The sequence below is a fragment of the Homo sapiens genome, chromosome 19 (assembly GCF_000001405.40).
Source record: "Homo sapiens chromosome 19, GRCh38.p14 Primary Assembly".
Taxonomy (NCBI): domain Eukaryota; kingdom Metazoa; phylum Chordata; class Mammalia; order Primates; family Hominidae; genus Homo; species Homo sapiens.
The window spans coordinates 54,957,209-54,979,508 of NC_000019.10; the positions used below are offsets into that span (position 1 = coordinate 54,957,209).

The 22,300-nt window shown below is 49.0% G+C and overlaps 2 protein-coding genes and 1 pseudogene across 7 annotated transcripts in view; 2 read left to right on the plus strand and 1 right to left on the minus strand.

The window, feature by feature from the left end:
• Window positions 1-9,035, minus strand: part of NLRP7 (NLR family pyrin domain containing 7) — a 42,729-nt gene extending 33,694 nt beyond the window's left edge. The window contains exon 1 of the mRNA NM_001405531.1: window positions 8,832-9,035. The gene's annotated coding sequence lies outside the window, so the exon portion shown is untranslated. The remainder of the gene's footprint in view (window positions 1-8,831) is intronic.
• The window catches only part of NLRP2 (NLR family pyrin domain containing 2), a 35,855-nt gene continuing 21,630 nt past the window's right edge, over window positions 8,076-22,300 (plus strand). For 4 of the 6 annotated variants that reach the window (NR_145325.2, NM_017852.5, NM_001348003.2 and 1 more), the window contains exons 1-4: window positions 9,166-9,259; window positions 12,791-13,087; window positions 17,292-17,336; window positions 20,544-20,615. Coding sequence is in view for 5 of the 6 variants with exons in the window: in NM_017852.5 (NP_060322.1) it covers window positions 12,808-13,087; window positions 17,292-17,336; window positions 20,544-20,615 (397 nt within the window). In the remaining variant the exon portion in view is untranslated. Of the gene's footprint in view, window positions 8,170-9,165; window positions 9,260-12,790; window positions 13,088-17,291; window positions 17,337-20,543; window positions 20,616-22,300 lie in introns of those variants that run through there. The other 2 variants (NM_001174083.2, NM_001174081.3) reach the window with 2 other exon arrangements.
• RPL36AP50 (ribosomal protein L36a pseudogene 50) lies at window positions 16,577-16,866 on the plus strand (annotated as a pseudogene).

Sequence of the window (22,300 nt, forward strand, 5' to 3'; positions counted from 1 at the left end):
CTGGGTTTCACCCTGTTGTCCAGGCTAGTCTCAAACTCCCGACGTCAGGTGATCCACCCATTTCGGTTCCCAAAGTGTTGAGATTACAGACCGTGAGCCACTGGGACGGACACCCCTACTCCTTTCTTCTTCTTCTTCTTTTTTTTTTTTTTTTTGAGATGGAGTCTCCCTTTGAAGCCCAGGCTGGAGTACAATGGTGCGATCTTAGCTCACTGCAGTTTCCTCCTCCCGGGTTCAAGTGATTCTCCTGCCTCAGCCTCCGGAGTAGCTGGGATTACAGGCACACACCACCACACCAGCTAATTTTTGTATTTTTAGCAGAGATGGGGTTTCACCATGTTGGCCAGGCTGGTCTCAAACTCCTGACCTCAGGTGATCCACCCACCTTGGCCTCCCAAACTGCTGGGATCACAGGCGTGAGCCACTGCACCCTACACTCTTATACTCCTTTCTGTAGCTCAGGCAGCTAGATGAGCTTCAATCATCTGGCCCTTCCTCCAGTCTCACATTTTTGTGGGACTCCTGTGCATACATAATTGAATCTGGTTTTTCTTCTGTCAAACTGTTTTGTGTCAATGTAATTCATAGCCCATCCAAAGAACCTAGGAGGGTGGAGGGAATCCATTTTCTCTCCTCCACACTGGAGGGCCATGGAGCCCAAGAGTTCAAGACTGGCCCGGTGTACAAAGTGAGACCCAGTCTCTATTTAAAAAAGATGGGGAGGGGGCCGGGCACGGTGTCTCACGCCTGTAATTCCAGCACTTTGGGAGGCCCAGGTGGGTGGATCACCTGAGGTCAGGAGTCCGAGACTAGCCTGGCCAAGGTGGTGAGACCGTGTCTTTACTAAAAATACAAAATTAGCTTGGTATGGTGGCAGGAGCCTGTAATCCCAGCTACTTGGAAGGCTAGGGCAGGAGAATCGCTTGGTTTGGGATTTTCTCCCTGAGGCACTTGCTATCTCCAGGATTATGGGTCTCAGGTGAAAGAAAGACAAAGAAGGAGAGAGAGACAGAGAGGGACAGGGAAAGAGAATTTCAGACTTATCTAACATTGACACTTAGGAGAAGTAGGGAGAAAGAGGTGGGAAAATAAAGTGGCTAGGTAAAAATGAACATGTCAGTAACAATAATAGCATTAACAATAACTAGTATTGCCGGGTGCAGTGGCTCACGCCTCTAATCCCAGCACTTTGGGACGCCGAGGTGGGCGAATCACAAGGTCAGGAGTTCAAGACCAGCCTGGCCAACATGGTGAAACCCTGTCTCTACTAAAAATACAAAAAGTTAGCTAGCTGGGCATAGTGGTGCATGCCTGTAATCCCAGCTACTCTGGAGGCTGAGGCAGGAGAATCGCTTGAACCCGGGAGGCAAAGGTTGCAGTGAGTCAAGATCAGGCCACTGCACTCCAGCCCAAGGGACAGAGTGAGACTCTGTCTCAAATAATAATAATAATAATAACTAGTGGCCAGGCACAGTGGCTCACGCCTGTAATCCCAGTGTAGCAGGACGAGCCACAGACAAAAACCTCTCAGACACCGAGTTGTAGAAGGAAGGGCTTTATTCAGCTGGGAGCATCGGCAAGCTACTGTCTTAAAATCCAAGCTCCTCGAGTGCACAGTTTCTGTCCCTTTTAAGGGCTCACAACACTAAAGACTGCGCATGAAAGGGTCATGATTGAGCAATCTAGGGGATACATAACAGGGGTTTCGTGCACTGCTGGTCAGAGAGAAAGAATAGGGCAGGGAGTTTCACAGTGTTCTTCTATACAATGCCTGGAATCTATGGATAACATCGGGTTCTAAGTCATGAGTTGATTTTTATCTACTAGGTTTACGCCAGGCAGGCCCAGGCCTGGTTTCGGGTCTGGTTTTGGGTCTGGTGCCTGGCGCCGGGCTACCTGCCTTTGGTTTCACTTCCTTGTTTTTTTCTTTTTCTTTTTTTTTTTTTTTGAGACAGAGTCTTGCTCTGTCGCTAAGGCTGGAGTGCAGTGGCACAATCTCGGCTCACTGCAAGCTCCGCCTCCTGGATTCAAGCAATTCTGCTGCCTCATCCTTCCGAGTAGCTGGGATTACAGGCGCACGCCACCATGCCCGGCTAATTTTTGTATTTTTAATAGAGACGGGGTTTCACCATGTTGGCCAGGCTGGTCTCAAACTCCTGACCTTGTGATCCACCCGCCTTGGCCTCCCAAAGTGCTGGGATTACAGGCGTGAGCCACCGTGCCCGGCCTCCTTGTTTTTTTTCTAAAACAAGTACTGAGTATAAAACAATATAAAACAATATGAGACGGTTTCTCTCTTCCCTCACCAGCACTTTGGGAGGCTGAGGCAGGTGGATCACAAGGTCAGAGTGGATAGCACTTTAGGAGGTTGAGGTGGGAGGATCCCTTGAGCCCAGGAGCTCAAGTCCAGCCTGGGCAACATAGCAAGACCCCCATTTCCAATTTTAGTGTATGTGCTGCCAAAGCAAATACTCTGAGACCCTGTTTCTACAAAAAATAAAAAAATTAAAATTAGTGCTTGGAAAAAAAAATTAGTGCTTGACCAGGAGGCAAGCACACCTCCTCATCCTCTCATGGATGTCTGTCTGTAGAAAGTAAATGGAGACAGCTTCATTTTACCCAACTGCTCCGTTTTAGGTCCGCTCCTGAGCTTCTGTTGTTCCCAGCCATGCAACCCTGGGAGCCGACTCCCGGCTGCAGAGCCTTGTCAGAAGCAGGCAATGTACACAGAGACCCAAGGCCTGGTGTAGACAGGCTTTCACAGACCTGGGCATTTTGTTGAATTGTTTTTGAATTGTGGTTTCTTATCAGTTCATCCGATACTCTGTTCTAACCACGTAGTTCCTCTTTTGGATCTCCAAACCCCTTTGCAGGTTCCATCTACCCGAACCAAACTCACTTATTCCAACAGAAGTCTGGTGTTTCTTGTTTTTTTTGTTTGTTTGTTTCTTTCGTTTTGTTTTTTGAGATGTTGTCTCCCTCTATCACCCAGGCTGGAGTGCAGTGGCGAGATCTCAGCTCACTGCAACCTCTGCTTCCCGGGTTCAAGCAATTCTCCTCCCTCAGCCTCCTGGGTAGCTGGGATTACAGGTGCCTGCCGCCACACCCAGCTAACTTTTGTATTTTTAGTAGAGACGGGATTTCACCATGTTGGCCAGGCTAGTCTCGAGCTCCTGACCTCAAGTGATCCACCCATCTCAGCCTCCCAAAGTGCTGGGATTACAGCCTTAAGCCACCGCGCTCAACCAGAAGTCTGTTTAAATCCATCCTTCTCCCCAGCCACCCATGAGTTATGTGACCTTGGGGTTGCTACTTAACATTTCAGTCTCAATTTCCTCAATAGAACAAAAGTTAGAAGAATTGTAACAAAAGATAGTTTTATTTTTATTTTTATTTTTATTTTTTGAGATGGAGTCTTGCTCTGTCACCTAGGCTGGAGTGCAGTGGTGTGATGGTGGCTCACTGCAAGCTCCGCCTCCCGGATTCACGCCATTCTCCTGCCTCAGCCTCCCAAGTAGCTGGGACTACAGGCACCCGCCACCGTGCCCAGCTAATTTTTTTAATTTTTAGTAGAGACGGGGTTTCACCGTGTTAGCCAGGATGGTCTCGATCTCCTGACCTCGTGATCCGCTTGCCTCGGCCTCCCAAAGTGCTGGGATTACAGGCGTGAGCCACCATGCCCAGCACAAAAGATAATTTCTTAATCCCATGCATTTGAGTCTTAAAAAAATATTCTATATAATTCCAAGGTCAAAGAAGAAATAACAAAGGGCATTTTTAAAAATGCTAGAACTGAGTGGTGGTGAAATTGCTGTTGAAATGTGTTTGTTGCACTGATGGAAATTTATAAATGTAAATATTTATATTAAAATATAAAATAATGGGCCAGGCATAGTGGCTCACACCTGTAATCTCAGTACTTTGGGAGGCCAAGGCGGGAGGGCCATGGAGCCCAGGAGTTCAAGACCGGCCCGGTGTACAAAGTGAGACCCAGTCTCTAGTTAAAAAAGAGGGGGAGTGGGCCAGGCACAGTGTCTCACGCCTGTAATTCCAGCACTTTGGGAGGCCAAAGCAGGTGGATCACCCGAGGTCAGGAGTCCAAGACCAGCCCGGCCAAGGTGGTGAAACCCCGTGTCTACTAAAAATACAAAATTAGCTTGGTATGGTGGCGGGAGCCTATAATCCCAGCTAGGGCAGGAGAATCACTTGAACCCGGGAGGCAGAGGTTGCAGTGAGCCAAGATCATGCCACTGCACTCCAGCCTGGGCAACAACAGAGAGACTTCATCTCTAAATAAATAAATAAATAAATAAAAGAAAATACAAATTTTTTAAAAAAGGTACTGTGGCTGGGCGTGGTGGTTCACACCTGTAATCCCAGCACTTTGGGAAGCCGAGGCAGGTGGATCTCAGATCAGGAGTTCAAGAAGAGCCTGGCCAGCATGGTGAAAACCTATCTGTACTAAAAATTAGCCTGGCATGGTGGCAGGTGCCTGTAGGAGGCTGAGGCAAGAGAATTGCTTGAGCCCCGGAGGCAGAGGTTGCAGTGAGCCGAGACCACACCACTGCACTCCAGCCTGGGCAACAGAGCGAGAGTCTGTCTCAAAAAGGAAACAAAAAAAAAAGTACCTCCAAATTATGGTAGGGTGTCCATATTAAGAAGGTAGAAAAAGGTCGGGGGAAGTGGATGCCTGTAATCCCAGAACTTTGGGAGGCTGAGGCGGGTGGATCACCTGAGGTCAGGAGTTCAAGAACAGCCTGGCCAAAAGGGTATGGTGAAACCCCATCTCTACTAGAACTACAAAATTAGCCGGGCGTGGTGGTACATGCCTGTAATCCCAGCTACACAGGAGTCTGAGGCAGGAGAATCACAGGAAACCGGCAGGCAGAGGTTGCAGTGAGCTGAGATCGCGCCATTGCACTCCAGCCTGGGCGACAAGAGCAAAACTCCATCTCAAAAAAAAAAAAAAGAAAAAATGAAAAAGAATTTATTGAAATGTGCAGTCTGAAAACTGCTCCTGCACATTTTCATTCATCCTTCCTATTCCCTCCATCCCTCAATTTTTTTTTTTTTTTTGAGACAGAGTTTCGCTCTTGTTGCCCAGGCTGGAGTGCAATGGCACGATCTCAGCTCACTGCAACCTCTGCCTCCCAGGTTCCAGCCATTTTCCTGCCTCAGCCTCCAGAATAGCTGGAATTACAGGCATCTGCCACTACGCCTGGCTAATTTTTTGTGTATTTTTAGTAGAGATGGGATTTCACCATGTTGGTCAGGCTGATCTCGAACTCCTGACCTCAGGTGATCCACCCGCCTCGGCCTCCCAAAGTGCTGGGATTACAGGCATGAATCACCACGCCCGGCCCCTCATTTTCTTTTCTTTCTTTCTTTCTTTTTTGTTTGTTTGTTTTTGAGACAGAGTCTTGCTCTGTCACCCAGGCTGGAGTGCAGTGGCGCGATCTCAGCTCACTGCAAGCTCCGCCTCCCGGGTTCACGCCATTCTCCTGCCTCAGCCTCCCGAGTAGCTGGGACTACAGGCGCCCGCCACCACGCCCGGCTAATTTTTTGTATTTTTAGTAGAGACGGGGTTTCACCGTGTTAGCCAGGATGGTCTCCATCTCCTGACCTCGTGATCCGCCCGCCTCGGCCTCCCAAAGTGCTGGGATTACAGGCGTGAGGCACCACACTGGGCCCCCTCACTTTCTTATTCTTTCTAGGATAGGCAACTGAGCGCGGCAGTGAAGAGCTGGGCTTCCGGAAGCTGACAGCTGTTTGTGATCTTCAAGACCTCAGACAGGTTTTCTAAATATGCCTTGCCTTCATTTTCTCAAGGAAAGTGAAAAATGGGTAGGATCATGGCAATCACTACTGTGTAGCAATGTTTAGAGGACTTAATAAGTAAACACAGGGTCAAGCATGGTGGCTCACACCGGAAATCCCAGCACTTTGGGAGGCCGTGGTGGGAAGATTGCTTAAGCCCATGGGGTTGAGACCAGCCTGGGCAACATAGTGAGACCTCCATCTCTATAAAAAATACAAAAATCTAGTCAGGCGTGATGGCGTATGCCTGTAGCCTTCAGTAAGCTATGATTGTGCCACTGCACACCAGCCTAGGCGACAGAGTGAGACCCTGTCTCAAAAAGAAAAAACGAAAAGAAATATAGATGTACATATACATATGTTGGTTCTAAAACATGAAAAAGGCTGGGCGCGGTGGTTCGTGCCTGCAACCCAAGCACTTTGGGAGGCCGAGGCGGGCGGATCACGAGGTCAAGAGTTTGAGACCAGCCTGGCCAACATAGTGAAACCCCATCTCTACTAAAAATACAAAAAAAAGGCTAGGCGCAGTGGCTCATGCCTGTAATCCTAGCACTTTGGGAGGCCGAGGTGAGCAGATTACCTGAGGTTGGGAGTTCAAGACCACCCTGTCCAACATGGTGAAACCCCATCTCTACTAAAAATAAGAAAATTAGCCGGGTACAGTGGCACGCGCCTGTAATCCCAGCTATTCAGGAGGCTGAGGCAGGAGAATCGCTTGAACTCTGGAGGCGGAGGTTGCAGTGAGCCAAGATTGCGCCACTGCACTCCAGCCCGGGCGACAGTGCCAGACTCAGTCTCAGAAAAAAAAAAAGCAAAACAAACAAAGAAACATGAAAAAAAGCTATAAAACCCAACTTTTTTCTTTTTTTTTTTGAGACGGAGTCTCACTCTGTCGCCCAGGGTGGAGTGCAGTGGTGCGGTCTCGGCTCACTGCAACCTCCGCCTCCTGGGTTCAAGCAATTCTCTGCTTCAGCCTCCCAAGTAGCTGGGATTACAGGCACCCGCCACCACGCCCGACTAATTTTTTGTATTTTTAGTTGAGACGGGGTTTCATCATCTTGGCCAGGCTGGTCTTGAAGTCCTGACCTCGTGATCCACCCGCCTTGGCCTCCCAAAGTGCTGGAATTACAGGCGTGAGCCACCGCGCCCGGCCAAAACCCAACTTTTTAGTCTTATTTATATGGTGTTTTTTTTTTTTTTTTTTTTTTTGAGATGGAGCCTTGCTCTGTCGCCCAGGCTGGAGTGCAGTGGCGCGATCTCGGCTCACTGCAAGCTCCGCCTCCCGGGTTCACGCCATTCTCCTGCCTCAGCCTCCCGAGTAGCTGGGACTACAGGTGCCCGCCACCACGCCCGGCTAATTTTTTGTATTTTTAGTAGAGACGGGGTTTCACCGTGTTAGCCAGGATGGTCTCGATCTCCTGACCTCGTGATCCACCTGCCTCGGCCTCCCAAAGTGCTGGGATTACAGGCGTGAGCCACTGTGCCCGGCTATATGTTTACAAAATTAATACTGCCAGCCAGGCACGGTGGCTCACGCCTGTAATCCCAGCACTTTAGGAGGCTGAGGCTGGCAGATCACCTGAGGTCAGGAGTTTGAGACCAGCCTGGCCAGCATGGCAAAACCCCGTCTCTATTGAAAAAAATACAAAAATTAACCAGGCGTTGTGGCGCATGCTTGTAATCTCAGCTACTCGGGAGGCTGAGGCAGGGGAATCACTTGAAGCCGGCAGGCGGAGGCTGCGGGGAGCCGAGATCGTGCCGTTGCACTCCAGCCTGGGGAACAGAGCAAGACTCCATTAAAAATAAAATAATAATAATACTGTGAATGTGAAACTGATGAACTTGGTGCTTTTCATGCGTCTCATAGTTGACGTGTCATTGATATTTCACTTGAAATACGGTTGGATTTTTATTAATAATATACCTGGGGTGATGGGAGAAGGTAGCCAATCACAGCTGAGGCTTCTAAGCGGTGATTCTCAGCCTCGGCCGCAATCACAATTATCTGGGACTCTCGAAAGAACTCCAGGGTCTGGGCAGTCCCAGTGTAACCAATCAAGCAGAATCTCTAGGCGTTCGTGCTTTGAAATGAGGCTCCACATAGGTAAGTTTAACAGGCAGTCAAGATGGAGGACCACAGGTGGAGATCGGGAAGCTCAGGTGAAGGACCGCCCCCCAACACCCCCCGCCCCCAAAAGACCTCTCAGTAATTCCGGTGGATACAGGAAGTGCTCAGCAACGATTACGCCCCGAGGGCCAATCACAGGGCTGCGGCCGAGAAAGAAGCCTTAATAGAGCTTTCTCAACCTGCAGCCCTCATCTCCGCCGGCGAGTAGGGCCAGGTGTTGGGAGGTGAGTAGCTCTCCGGCAGCTCTGCAACTTCATTTCTTTATTTCTCCATTCCACAGTTGGTAAAATTTCTCCTTTTATTTCATATATTTTTTTTCTGAGACGGAGTCTCGCTCTGTCGCCCAGGCTGGAGTGCAGTGGCGCGATCTCTGCTCACTGCAAGCTCCGCCTCCCGGGTTCACGCCATTCTCCTGCCTCAGCCTCCCGAGTAGCTGGGACTACAGGCGCCCGCCACCACGCCCGGCTAATTTTTTGTATTTTTAGTAGGTGGCTCACGCCTGTAATCCCAGCACTTTAGGAGGCTGAGGCTGGCAGATCACCTGAGGTCGGGAGTTTGAGACCAGCCTGGCCAGCATGGCAAAACCCCGTCTCTATTGAAAAAAATACAAAAATTAACCAGGCGTTGTGGCGCATGCTTGTAATCTCAGCTACTCGGGAGGCTGAGGCAGGGGAATCACTTGAAGCCGGCAGGCGGAGGCTGCGGGGAGCCGAGATCGTGCCGTTGCACTCCAGCCTGGGGAACAGAGCAAGACTCCATTAAAAATAAAATAATAATAATACTGTGAATGTGAAACTGATGAACTTGGTGCTTTTCATGCGTCTCATAGTTGACGTGTCATTGATATTTCACTTGAAATACGGTTGGATTTTTATTAATAATATACCTGGGGTGATGGGAGAAGGTAGCCAATCACAGCTGAGGCTTCTAAGCGGTGATTCTCAGCCTCGGCCGCAATCACAGTTATCTGGGACTCTCGAAAGAACTCCAGGGTCTGGGCAGTCCCAGTGTAACCAATCAAGCAGAATCTCTAGGCGTTCGTGCTTTGAAATGAGGCTCCACATAGGTAAGTTTAACAGGCAGTCAAGATGGAGGACCACAGGTGGAGATCCGGAAGCTCAGGTGAAGGACCGCCCCCCAACACCCCCCGCCCCCAAAAGACCTCTCAGTAATTCCGGTGGATACAGGAAGTGCTCAGCAACGATTACGCCCCGAGGGCCAATCACAGGGCTGCGGCCGAGAGAGAAGCCTTATTAGAGCTTTCTCAACCTGCAGCCCTCATCTCCGCCGGCGAGTAGGGCCAGGTGTTGGGAGGTGAGTAGCTCTCCGGCAGCTCTGCAACTTCATTTCTTTATTTCTCCATTCCACAGTTGGTAAAATTTCTCCTTTTATTTCATATATTTTTTTTCTGAGACGGAGTCTCGCTCTGTCGCCCAGGCTGGAGTGCGGTGGCGCGATCTCGGCTCACTGCAAGCTCCGCCTCCCGGGTTCAGGCCATTCTCCTGCCTCAGCCTCCCGAGTAGCTGAGACTACAGGCACCTGCCACTATGCCCAGCTAATTTTTTTGTATTTTTAGTAGAGACGGGGTTTCACCATGTTGGCCAGGCTGGTCTCAGTCCGCCTCGGCCTCCCAAGGTGCCGGGATTACAGGCGTGAGCCACCGCGCCCAGCCTTTTTTTTTTTTTTTTTTTTTTTTTTCTTCTCTTTTTTGAGGGTCTTACTCTGTTTCCCAGGCTGGAGCGCTGTGGCAGGATCTCGGCTCACTGAACCCTTGACCTCTCAGGTTCAAGCAGTCCTCACGCCTCAGCCTTTGAAGTAGCTGGGACCGTGGGAGGGTGCCACCACATCTGTTCTGGCTAATAATATTATTATTACCACTGTTTGCAGAGACTCACTAGATGTAGGGTCTTAATATGTTGCCGAAGCTGGTCTCTAACTCCTGGGCTCAAGCGATCTTCCTGCCTCAGACTCCCAAAATTCTGGGATTATAGGCAGGTGCCACCGCGCCCGGCCTAAATCTTTTCTTCTGTTAGAAATTAAGTGGTTCTGCCTGTCTCAGTGGCTCACGCCTGTAATCGCAGCGCTTTGGGAGGCCGAGGCGGGAGGATCACCTGAGGTCGGGAGTTCGAGACCAGCCTGACCAACATGTAGAAACCCCATCTCTACTAAAAATATAAAATTAGGTGGGCGTGGTAGCGCATACTTGTAATCCTAGCTACTCAGGAGGCTGAGGCAGGAGAATCACTTGAACCCGGGAAGCGGAGGTTGCGGGGAGCCTAGATCATACCATTGCTCTCCAGCCTGCGCAGCAAGAGAGAAACTGTCTCAAAAAATAAAATAAAATAAAATTCAGTGGTTCTGACTGGGGAAAGAGTAGCAGATGCTTAGATCTAGAGAGACTCTAGTTAAGGTTGGCTCATAAGAGGATAGTTGTGTGTGCTTTTATTTCTGTTCTCTTGGGGGATTTAGGATAGAGCTATAGAGAGCTCCAAAAAAAAAAATATATTGGAACAGGTCAGATGCTGTGGTTGCTGTGTGTGGAGTCCTGGGCAGTGCTAAGGTTTTGTGTCTAATGAGTCCTCTTAACAAGAAGGTATTGTTTTTTATTCACTGAGGTGAGGGAGCCTCTTAGCATCATTCTAGTCCAGCTTCCGGACCTGAGTCTTATGCAAATACCTATGCCAGTTGCCATTCTCACGCTATTCACAGCTATCATATAAAGAGGTGTTATACCCTTTCTGTAAAGTTTTTGTTGCTACTGCTATTTTTTTTTTTTTTTTTTTGAGACAAAGTCTAGCTCTGTTTCCCAGGCTGGAGTACAGTGGCGCTATCTCAGCTCACTGCAACTTCCACCTCCCAGGTTCAAGCAATTCTCGTGCCTCAGCCTTCTAAGTAGCTGGGACTACAGCCGCCTGTCACCAACCTGGCTAATTTTCGTATTTTTAGTCGATATAGGGTTTCACTATGTTGGCCAGGCTGGTCTCAAGCTCCAGACCTCAGGTGATCCTCCCACCTTGGACTCCCAAAGTGCTGTGATTACAGGCGTGAGCCACCGCACCCGGCCCTGTTGTTTTTAAAATAGAGACAGGGTCTTAAGTTGCCAGGCTGGTCTGGAACTTCTGGACTGGAGTGATCACCCACCTGAGCTTCCCAAAGTGCGGGGATTGCAAGCGTCAGCCACCACCCCCAGTGTTGTGTTTTTGTTTGTTTTACCAGGCTGGAGTGCAGTGGTGCGATCACAGCTCACTGCAGCCTTAACTTCCCTGGCTCAGGTGATCCTCCCACCTCAGCCTCCTCAGTAGCTGGGACTACAGGTGCATGCCACTATGCCCAGCACAATTTTTTTTTTTTTTGTATTTTTTTGTAGAGACAGGGTTTTGCCATGTTGCCCAGGCTGGTCTCAAACTCCAAGCAATCCTCCCACCTTGGCTTCCCAAAGTGTTTGGGGTTCCAGGTGTGAGCCATGGCCCCCCGGCCAGCTTCAGTAAAGTAAAAGCCACACACCTGTGTCCTGAGACCAGGCTCCACCACTAAGTTATCTTTAAGCCTTTTTTTTTTTTGAGACAGTTTCACTCTTGTCGCCCCAGGCTGGAGTGCAGTGGCGCCATGTCAGCTCACCACAACCTCTGCCTCCCACTCCCAGGTTCAAGCGATTCTCCTGCCTCAGCCTCCCAAGTAGCTGGAACTACAGGCACCTGCCACCACGCCCGGCTAATTTTTTGTATTTTTAGTAGAGACGGGGTTTCACTGTGTTAGCCAGGATGGTCTCGATCTCCTGACCTCACGATCCGCCCGCCTCGGCCTCCCAAAGTGCTGGGATTGCAGGCGTGAGCCACCGCGCCCGGCTGTGTGTTTGCATTATCATATTCAGCCCAGTTTTCACGAAGTTTCTTGTCTCCTGGGTGATCCACGTAGCTCCCCACTTCCTTATCTGATCTATGCTTGTCCTTTCATTGTTGTGTTACTACTTTGCTATAATGAGAGAGTGTTTTCGCTTTATAGGTTAACTTTTAGAACCTGAGCAGCCCCTCAGGGAAAACCCTGACAGTAGCTGGTTATTTTGCAATTAGAAAAACTAGCTGGGCACTGAGGCAGGTGAATCACGAGGTCAGGAGTTCGAGACCAGCCTGGCCAACTTGGTGAAACCCCCCATCTCTACTAAAAATACAAAAAAATTAGCTGGGCACAGTGGTGAATGCCTGTAATCCCAGCTACTTGGGAGGCTGAGGCAGGAGAATTGCTTGAATCCGGGAGGCAGAGGTTGTAGTGAGCCGAGATTGCAGCACTGCACTCCAGCCAGGGTGACAAAGTGAGACTCCGTCTCAAAAAAAAAAAAAAAAAAAATACAAAAAGTAGCTGAGCGTGGTGGTGGGTGCCCATAATCCCAGCTAGTCGGGAGGCTGAGGCAGGAGAACTGTTTGAACCTGGGAGGCAGAGGTTGCAGTGAGCTGAGATCGTACTACTGTACTCCAGCCTGGGCTGCAGAGTGAAACTATCTCAAAAATAAGTAAATAAAAGTAAAATGAGTTGAGGTCTTGCTCTGTTGCCCAGATGGGAGTGCAGTGGCACAATCAAGGCTCACTGCAGTTTCAGTCTCCCAGGCTCAAGCAATCCTCCCACTGCAGCCTCCTGAGTAGCTGGGACTACAGGCATGTACCACCACCCACTGCTAACTTATTTTTCATGGAGATGGGGGTCTCACTATGTTGCCCAGGCTGGGAGTTTGTTCTTGAAGAAGCAGGGTAGATGGTGAGTGTCCTTGTTCGTGGCACAGCAGGAACTGGCATTTGAGACAGGAGTGCTAATCACCATCCCTCTCCACTCCTCCCTTGATTGTCATCACAGCTCCCACGTGGGACAAGATGGTGTCTTCGGCGCAGATGGGCTTCAACCTGCAGGCTCTCCTGGAGCAGCTCAGCCAGGATGAGTTGAGCAAGTTCAAGTATCTGATCACGACCTTCTCCCTGGCACACGAGCTCCAGAAGATCCCCCACAAGGAGGTAGACAAGGCTGATGGGAAGCAACTGGTAGAAATCCTCACCACCCATTGTGACAGCTACTGGGTGGAGATGGCGAGCCTCCAGGTCTTTGAAAAGATGCACCGAATGGATCTGTCTGAGAGAGCAAAGGATGAAGTCAGAGGTGAGTGGAAATCGGTCCACACTGTGTCCTAGGAGGAAGCAGGCGTCCTCTCCAGGACTTTAGAAATTCAGAAGGCCAGGCGCGCTGGCTCACGCCTGTCGTCCCAGCCCTTTGGGAGGCTGAGGCGGTTGGACCACCTGAGGGTCAGGAGTTTGAGACCAGCCTGACCAACATGGTGATGAAACAGCATCTCTACTAAAAATACAAAAATTTGCTGGACGTGGTGGCAGACACCTGTAATCCCAGCTACTCCGGGAGGCTGAGGCAGGAGAATCACTTAAATCTAGGAGGCGGGGGTTGCTATGAGCCGAGATCACGCCATTGCACCCCAGCCTGGGCAACAAGAGCAAAATTCTGTCTCAAAAAAAAAAAGAAATGGCATTGAGGCTTGGAGAGGGACTGCTTGTTCTGAATGCAGGTGCTGGATCTTCATAAACCCTGGTGTCTGTCCTGGTCCTTATTTTCTACCTACTTCTTTTTTTTTTTTTTTTTGTCCTTTTATTTTTTTATTTTTTATTTTATTATTATTATTTTTTTTATTATACTTTAAGTTTTAGGGTACATGTGCACATTGTGCAGGTTAGTTACATATGTATACATGTGCCATGCTGGTGCGCTGCACCCACTAACTCGTCATCTAGCATTAGGTATATCTCCCAATGCTATCCCTCCCCCCTCCCCCCACCCCACCACAGTCCCCAGAGTGTGATGTTCCCCTTCCTGTGTCCATGTGATCTCATTGTTCAATTCCCACCTATGAGTGAGAATATGCGGTGTTTGGTTTTTTGTTCTTGTGATAGTTTACTGAGAATGATGGTTTCCAATTTCATCCATGTCCCTACAAAGGACATGAACTCATCATTTTTTATGGCTGCATTGTATTCCATGGTATATATGTGCCACATTTTCTTAATCCAGTCTATCATTGTTGGACATTTGGGTTGGTTCCAAGTCTTTGCTATTGTGAATAATGCTGCAATAAACATACGTGTGCATGTGTCTTTATAGCAGCATGATTTATAGTCATTTGGGTATATACCCAGTAATGGGATGGCTGGGTCAAATGGTATTTCTAGTTCTAGATCCCTGAGGAATCCCCACACCGACTTCCACAATGGTTGAACTAGTTTACAGTCCCACCAACAGTGTGAAAGTGTTCCTATTTCTCCACATCCTCTCCAGCACCTGTTGTTTCCTGACTTTTTAATGATCGCCATTCTAACTGGTGTGAGATGATATCTCATAGTGGTTTTGATTTGCATTTCTCTGATGGCCAGTGATGATGAGCATTTTTTCATGTGTTTTTTGGCTGCATAAATGTCTTCTTTTGAGAAGTGTCTGTTCATGTCGTTCGCCCACTTTTTGATGGGGTTGTTTGTTTTTTTCTTGTAAATTATTTTCTACCTATTTCTATCGCTTTCAGGTATCGTACAGTTGGCCTAACATATCTGTGGATTTAACCAATCCTAGATCAAAAATAATGGGGGCAAAGACAATTAAAAATAACAATACAATAAAATGCACATGAACTATGGTTATTTAACTCTTCTTGAGAGAGGATCTCACTCTGTCACCCAGGCTGGAATTTAGCAGCACGATCTCGGCTCACTGCAACCTCCGCCTCCCGGGTTCAAGCGATTCTCCTGCCTCAGCCTCCCGAGTAGCCGGGATTACAAGCATGTCCCACCATGCCTGGCTGATTTTTTTTTTTTTTTTTTTTGTATTCTAAATAGAGATGGGGTTTCACCATGTTAGCCAGGATAGTCTCGATGTCGTGACCTCATGATCTGCCCGCCTCGGCCTCCCAAAGTGTTGGGATTACAGGCGTGAGCCACCGCACCCAGCCAGCAAGTGCATTTAGAACTACTCTACTTTCTACCCCATAACTTTTTTTTTTGTTTGTTTGAGACAAGTCTCACTCTGTCACCCAGGATGGAGTGCAGCAGCACAATCTCAGCTTATTGCAACTCCCGCCCCCTGGGTTCAAGTGTTTCTCCTGCATCAGCCTCTTGAATAGCTAGGATTATACAGGCACCTGCCACTGTGCCTGGCTAAATTTTGTATTTTAATAGAGATGGGGTTTCACTATGTTGGCCAGGCTGGTCTTGAACTCCTGACCACGTGATCAACCCGCCTCAGCCTCCCAATGTGCTGGAATTACAGGTGTGAGCCGCCATGCCCAGCTACACTTTTTTTTGAAACGGGGTCTCGTTTTCTTGCTCAGGCTGGAGTACAATGGGGCAATCACAGCTCACTGCAGCCTTGACCTCCCAGACTTGAGCAATCCTACCACTATGGCCTCCCACCACACCTCGCTCATTCTTGTATATATATATATTTTTGTAGAGATAGGGTTTCACCATGTTGCCCAGGCTGGTCTCGAACTTCTGTGGGCTCAACCGATCCTCCTGCCTTGGCTTCCCACAGTCCTGGGATCAGAAACATGAGCCACAGTGCCTGGCCAGTGCAGCTTTATTTACAGTAACCAAGATATAGAGTCAGTCTAAGTGACCATCAGTGGATGAATAAAAAATGTGCCCGTTGGGTACCCTGCCTACTGCCTGGGTTATGAGATTGTTGGGACCCCAAGCCTTAAAAAGGAAACATGGTAGGCCGGGCACAGTGGCTCACGCCTGTAATCACAGCACTTTGGGAGGCCAAGGCGGGTGGATCACTTGAGGCCAGGAGTTTGAGACCAGTCAGGCCAATGTGGTGAAACCCTGTCTCTACTAAAAATATAAAAAAATCAGCCGGGCGTGGTGGCACACTCCTGTAGTCCCAGCTACTTGGGAGGCTGAGGCAGGAGGATTGCTTGAACCAGAGAGTCAGAGGTTGCAGTGAGCCAAGATCGTGCCACTGCGCTCCAGCCTGGGTGACAGCAAGACTCCATCTCAAAAAAAAAAAACAAACAAACATGGTATTAATTACACAATGGAATACTCCTCAACCTTAAGGAACTCCTATCTTTTTATTTAAAAATTGCCAGTTTTATTTCAGCTAGAGATCACTTTTTAGCATAATGTTTCCTGTCTTTAACAATGGGTGAGGGTTTTTTTTTTTTTTTTTTTGGTTTGGTTTGGATTTTGGTTTTGCTTTTGAGTCGAAGTTTCACTCTTGTCTCCCAGGCTAGAGTGCAATGGCGCGATCTCGGCTCACTGTGACCTCCTCCTCCCAGGTTTAAGTGATTCTCCTGCCTCAGCCTCCAGAGTAGCTGGGATTACAGGCGCCTACCACCATGCCCGCTAATTTTTGTATTTTAGTAGAGACAGGGTTTTACCATGTTGACCAGACTGGTCTCGAACTCCCGACCTCAGGTGATCTGCCCACCTCAGCCTCCCAGAGTGCTGGGATTACAGGTGTGAGCAACCATGCCCGGCCAAGGGTTTTTAACTTTAGCTGACCTCCGGAGGTTACAAGTTTGAAAACGGCAGGAGGAAACCCAGAGAGTTGTAAACTTACGAAGGTCTGGGCTCTGAAAAAGATACAAATTTTCTTTCCATGCCAATAGCGCTCACACAGACATGGTGAATGTTCCTGAAACCCGCCGGACTTTCTGTAAGAAGTGTGGCAAGCACCACCCCCACAAAGTGACACAAGGCAAGGATTCTTGGTATGCCCAGGGGAAGTAGTGTTATGACAGGAAGCAGAGTGGCTATGGTGGGCAGACTAAGCCGATTTTCCGGAAAAAGGCTAAAACTACAAAGAAGATTGTGCTAAGGCTTGAGTGCCTTGAGCCCAACTGCAGATCTAAGAATGCTGGCTATTAAAAGATACAAGCAGCCAAGCGCGGTGGCTCACGCCTGTAATCCCAACACTTTGGGAGGCCGAGGTGGGCGGATCACAAGGTCAGGAGTCTGAGACCAGCCTGGCCAAAATGGTGAAACCCCATCTCTACTAAAAATACAAAACTTAGCTGGGCATGGTGGTGTATGCCTATAGTCCCAGCTACTCAGGAAGCTGAGGCAGGAGAATCGCTTGAACCTGGGAGGCAGAGGTTGCAGTGAGCCAAGATTGTGCCACTCCAGCCTGGGCAACAGAGTGACACTCTGTCTCAAAAAAAAAAGATGCAAGCATTTTGAACTGGAAGGAGATAAGAGAAAGGAACAAGTGATCCAGTTCTAAGTGTCATCTTTTCTTTTATGAAGGCAATAAAATCTTGAGCTTATGGTAAAATGCAAAATTTTCCCCCCTTCTCCTTTTTCAGAAGCAGCTTTGAAATCCTTTAATAAAAGGAAGCCTCTATCATTAGGTAAGTTACCTCATTTATAACTTTTATTCTTCATGTGAGATCTGGGGACTCGGGCCTTTGTTTTAAGGAGAATGTGCTGAGCACTAAGAATGCAAAGAAATGCCGGACTTAGCATCCCTGCTCCCAGGGCGGAGCTGGTCTCGCAGGTGCGTAGCAGTAAGACCTGGGAAGCTGAAACACGATCGCGTTTGTTGGAAATCTATAAATACATACAAAGCGGGGAAGGGTAAGCTTGGCCTTTGAATCTGGATAAGGTAGAGACTTTTCTTTTTTGAGATGGAGGCTTGCTCTGTCACCTAGGCTGAAGTGCAGTGGTACGACCTCGGCTGACTGCAACCTCTACCTCCTGGGTTCAAGCAGTTCTCCTGCCTCAGCCTCTAGAATAGCTGGGATTACAGGTACCTGCCACCAGGCCCGGCTAATTTTTTGTGGTGTTTGTAGAGATGGGGTTTCACCATGATGGCCAGGCTGGTCTTGAACTCCTGACCTCAAGTGATCTGCCCACCTCAGCGTCCCAAAATGCTGGGATTATGGGCATGAGCCACCACCACACCCGGTTTTGTTTTTTTTTTTTTTTTTTTTTTTTTTTTTTTTTTTTTGAAACAGGGCTTCACTCTGTCACTTAGGCTGGAGTGGTGCAATCATGGTTCACTGCAGCCTTGACCTCCCAAGCTCTGGTGATCCTCCTGCCTCAGCCTCCTGAGTAGCTGGGACCACAGGCACTTGCCACCATGCCTGGCTAATTTTTTTCACTTTTTGTAGAGACAGGGTCTTGCTATGTTGCCCAGGCTGGCCTCGAATTACTAAACTCAATCAGTCCTCCTGCCTCACCCTCCCAAACTGCTGGGGTACAGGTGTGAGCCATGACACCTGGCCCTTACCAGCTACTTATATCCTGAAGATTATTATTATTTTTTTTTTTTTTGAGATAGAGTCTCTCTCTGTTGCCCAGGCTGGAGTGCAGTGGCGTGATCTCGGCTCACTGCAAGCTCCGCCTCCCGGGTTCATGCCATTCTCCTGCCTCAGCCTCCCGAGTAGCTGGGACTACAGGCGCCCACCACCACGCCTGGCTAATTTTTTTGTGTTTTTAGTAGAGACGGGGTTTCACCGTGTTAGCCAGGATGGTCTCGATCTCCTGACCTTGTGATCCGCCCGCCTCGGCCTCCCAAAGTGCTGGGATTACAGGCGTGAGCCACCGCGCCCGGCCCCTGAAGATTGTGTTTTGAGATGGGGTCTTGCTGTGTTGCTCCGGCTTGATTGCAGTGGCACAGTCATAGCTCATTGCAGCCTCAACCTTCCAGGCTCCAGAGATCCTCTTACCTCAGCCTCCTGAGTAGCTGGGACTACAGGTGTGCACTGCCACACCTGACTAATATTTGTATTTTTGGTAGGGACAGTTTCACTATGTTGCCAGATATGGTGTCAAACTCCTGGTCTCAAGTGATCCTCCCACCTTGGCCTCCCAAAGTGCTGGGATTACAGACATGATTCACCACACCTGGCCATGAAGACTTTTTTTTTTTGGACAAAGTCTCACTCTGTTGCCCAGGATGGAATGCAGTGGCATGATCTCAGCTCACTGCAACCTCTGACCTCCGCCTCCCGGTTCAAGTGATTCTCTTGCCTCAGCCTCCCGAGTAGCTGGGATTATAGGTGTCTGCCACCAAGCCCAGCTAATTTTTGTAATTTTAGTAGAGATGGGGTTTCACCATGTTGGCCAGGCTGGTCTTGAACTCCTGACCTCGTGATCCACGTGCCTCAGCCTCCCAAAGTGTTGGGATTACAGGTGTGAGTCACTGCGCCTGGTCTCATGAAGACCTTTTTTGAGACAGAGTCTTGCTCTGTCACCCAGGCTGGAGTGCAGTGGTACAATCTCACTGCAGCCTCCGCCTCCCAGGTTCAAGTGATTCTCCTGCCTTAGCCTCCCAAGTAGCTGGGATTACAGGCGCCTACCACCACGTCTGGCTAATTTTTGTATTTTTAGTAGAGACAGGGTTTCACCATGTTGGCCAGGCTGGTCTCAAACTGCTGACCTCAAATGAACTGTCTGCCTCAGCCTCACAAAGTACTGGGATTACAGGCATGAGCCACCTCACCTGGTGGTGAAGACTCTAAAGGCTCTTCTCAGATCAGCCTTTGTCCTGAATTTCACATGCCCGTGTCCAGTTCCCTCCCCAGCATCTTTTCAGGAGTTCCATGGACTCACCTCTTCATTATCCAGGGTTAAGCTGCAGATATTGTTATTAGGATTCCACCTTGTTCTCTCTCTTTTTTTTTTTTTTTTTGATACGGAGTCTCGCTTGCTCTTTTGCCAGGCTGAAGTGCAGTGGAGCGATCTTGGCTCACTGCAATCTCCGCCTCCTGGGTTCAAGCAATTCCCTTGCCTCAGCCTCGCAAGTAGCTGGGACTTACAGGTAACACACCACCATGCCCGGCTAATTTTTTGTTTTAGTAGAGACGGGGCTTCACCATGTTGGCCGGGATGGTCTCGATCTCCTGACCTCATGATCCGCCTGCCTTGGCCTCCCAAAGTGTTGGGTTACAGGCATGAGCCACCATGCCCGGCTGATTCCACCTTGTTCTTACATTCTTTCCCAGTTCATTTTAAATTTATCTACCTCATCAGAAACTAGGGGGTTAGGCCTGGCAGGCAGATCACCTGAGGTTGGGAGTTCGAGACCAGCCTGACCAACGTAGAGAAACCCTGTCTGTACTAAAAATACAAAATTAGCCAGGTATGGTGGCACATTCCTGTAATCCCAGCTACTCCGGAGGCCGAGGCAGGAGAATCACTTGAACCCAGGAGGCGGAGGTTGCAGTGAGCCGACATCACACCATTGCATTCCAGCCTGGGCAACAAGAGCAAAACTACATCTCAAAAAAAAAGAAAAACTAGGCAGTTAATCCTCAAAGCCTTTCCAGTGGCCTTATGCGTGAGTAGTTTGTGTGTGTGTGTGTGTGTGTGTGTGTGTGTGTGTGTCTTTCACACCATGTGTTCTGAACTACTTAGGAATTCTCACCAGAAAGGCACATAAACCTGGGATCATGGCCTAATGTACTTTCACTTTTACATCCAGTACCTTATCAACGTCCTTTTTAGTACCTAATCTAGGCTTCACTACTGAGACTCAGGGGTCCAACTTGAGCCATCTTGGAGTCCCACTGCCAGCACAGCAACAGGCCTGTAATGCCGCCCTTTTTCTCCAGGGATAACACGGAAAGAACGACCACCTCTAGACGTGGACGAAATGCTGGAGCGCTTCAAAACAGAAGCACAAGGTGGGTGTCAGGACCTCCAATGTTGGAGTCAGCTGAGGAAGCCCCCCGTTCTTGCTGCTATCTCCTGTTCCTTTGAAGAACCCCATCTCTCTCCAATCTTTTCCTCCACTATTCTTAATGTGCCCACTGTCTCCTGGAGAATGCCAACCTCCCTTCCGTAAGAATAGAGGGAAGAACGAACGTTGCAGAGAATTAGAACTCAGTTTGTAGAAAGTTAGGAGCACAGCGCAGAGAGTTTTTGTTTTTGTTTTTGTTTTGAGACAGTTTCTCTGTTGGCCAGGTTGGAATGCAATGGCGCGATCTCGGCTCACTGTAACCTCCACCTCCCAGGTTCAAGCGATTCTCCTGATTCTCCTGACTCAGCCTCCTGAGTAGCTGGGATTATAGGCACCTGCCACCACACCCAGCTAATTTTTTTTTTTTTTTTTGAGACGAAGTCTTGTTCTTGTCACCCAGGCTGGAGTATAGTGGCACCATCCCTGTTCACTGCAACCTCCGCCTCCCAGATTCAAGTGATTGTCCTGTCTCAGCCTCCTGAGTAGCTGGGACTACAGGTGCATGCCACCACGCCCAGCTAATTTTTTTTTGTACTTTTAGTAGAGACAGGTTTCACCATCTCATTCAGGGTGGTCTCAAACTCCTGACCTCAAGAGATCTGCTCCACCCACCCCCAAGTCTCCCGAAGTGCTGGGATTACAGGCGAGAGCCACCGTACCCGGCCTTCTTTAAATTATTTAAAAGTTGACAGGTGGCCAGGTGTGGTGGCTCTCACCTATAATCTCCCAGCACTTTGGGAGGCTGAGGCGGGTGGATCAAGAGATCGAGACCATCCTGGCCAACATGGTGAAACCCAACTCTACTAAAAACACAAAAATTAGCCGGGTGTGGTGGCACCCGCCTGTAGTCCCAGCTACTCAGGAGGCTGAGGCAGGAGAATCGCTTGAACCCGGGAGGTGGAGGTTGCAGTGAGCCAAGATTGTGCCACTGCACTCCAGCCTGGCAACAGTGCGAGACTCCATCTTAAAAAAAAAAAAAAAAAATTGACAGGCATAAATGTATTTATGGTACATTGCTCAGACAACTTTAATATAAACAACTTACAGAGAAAATTGAGTCTTTTGGGTAGGTGACTTGCCTGAGCTGACTTTGTGATAGGTTTTTTCTGTTTTTTTTGTTTTTGAAATAGAGTCTCACTCTGTCATGCAGGCTGGAGTGCAGTGGCCCCATCTTGGCTCACTGCAATCTCTGCCTCCTGGGTTCAAGGGGTCTTCCTGCCACAGCCTCCCCAGGTGCTGGGACTATAGGTGCCCACCACTATGCCTGGCTAACTTTTGTGTTTTTAGTACAGATGGGGTTTCAACAGGGTAGCCAGGTTGGTCTAGAACTCCTGACCTCAAGTGATCCACCTACCTCGGTCTCCTAAAGTGCTGGGATTACAGCTGTGAACCACCGCACCTAGCCTGTGATCAGTTTCAGATCAGCCTTGCTTACTCCACATTCCCTCTTATCTTCCTGGTAGCATTTTTGTTTTTTCTTGAGAAAGAGTTTTGCCCTTGTCGCCCAGGCTAGAGTGCAATGGTGTGATCTCGGCTCGCCACAACCTCCACCTCCCAGGTTCAAGTGATTCTGCCTCAGCCTCCCGAGTAGCTGGGATCATAGGCGCCCACCACCACATCTGGCTAATT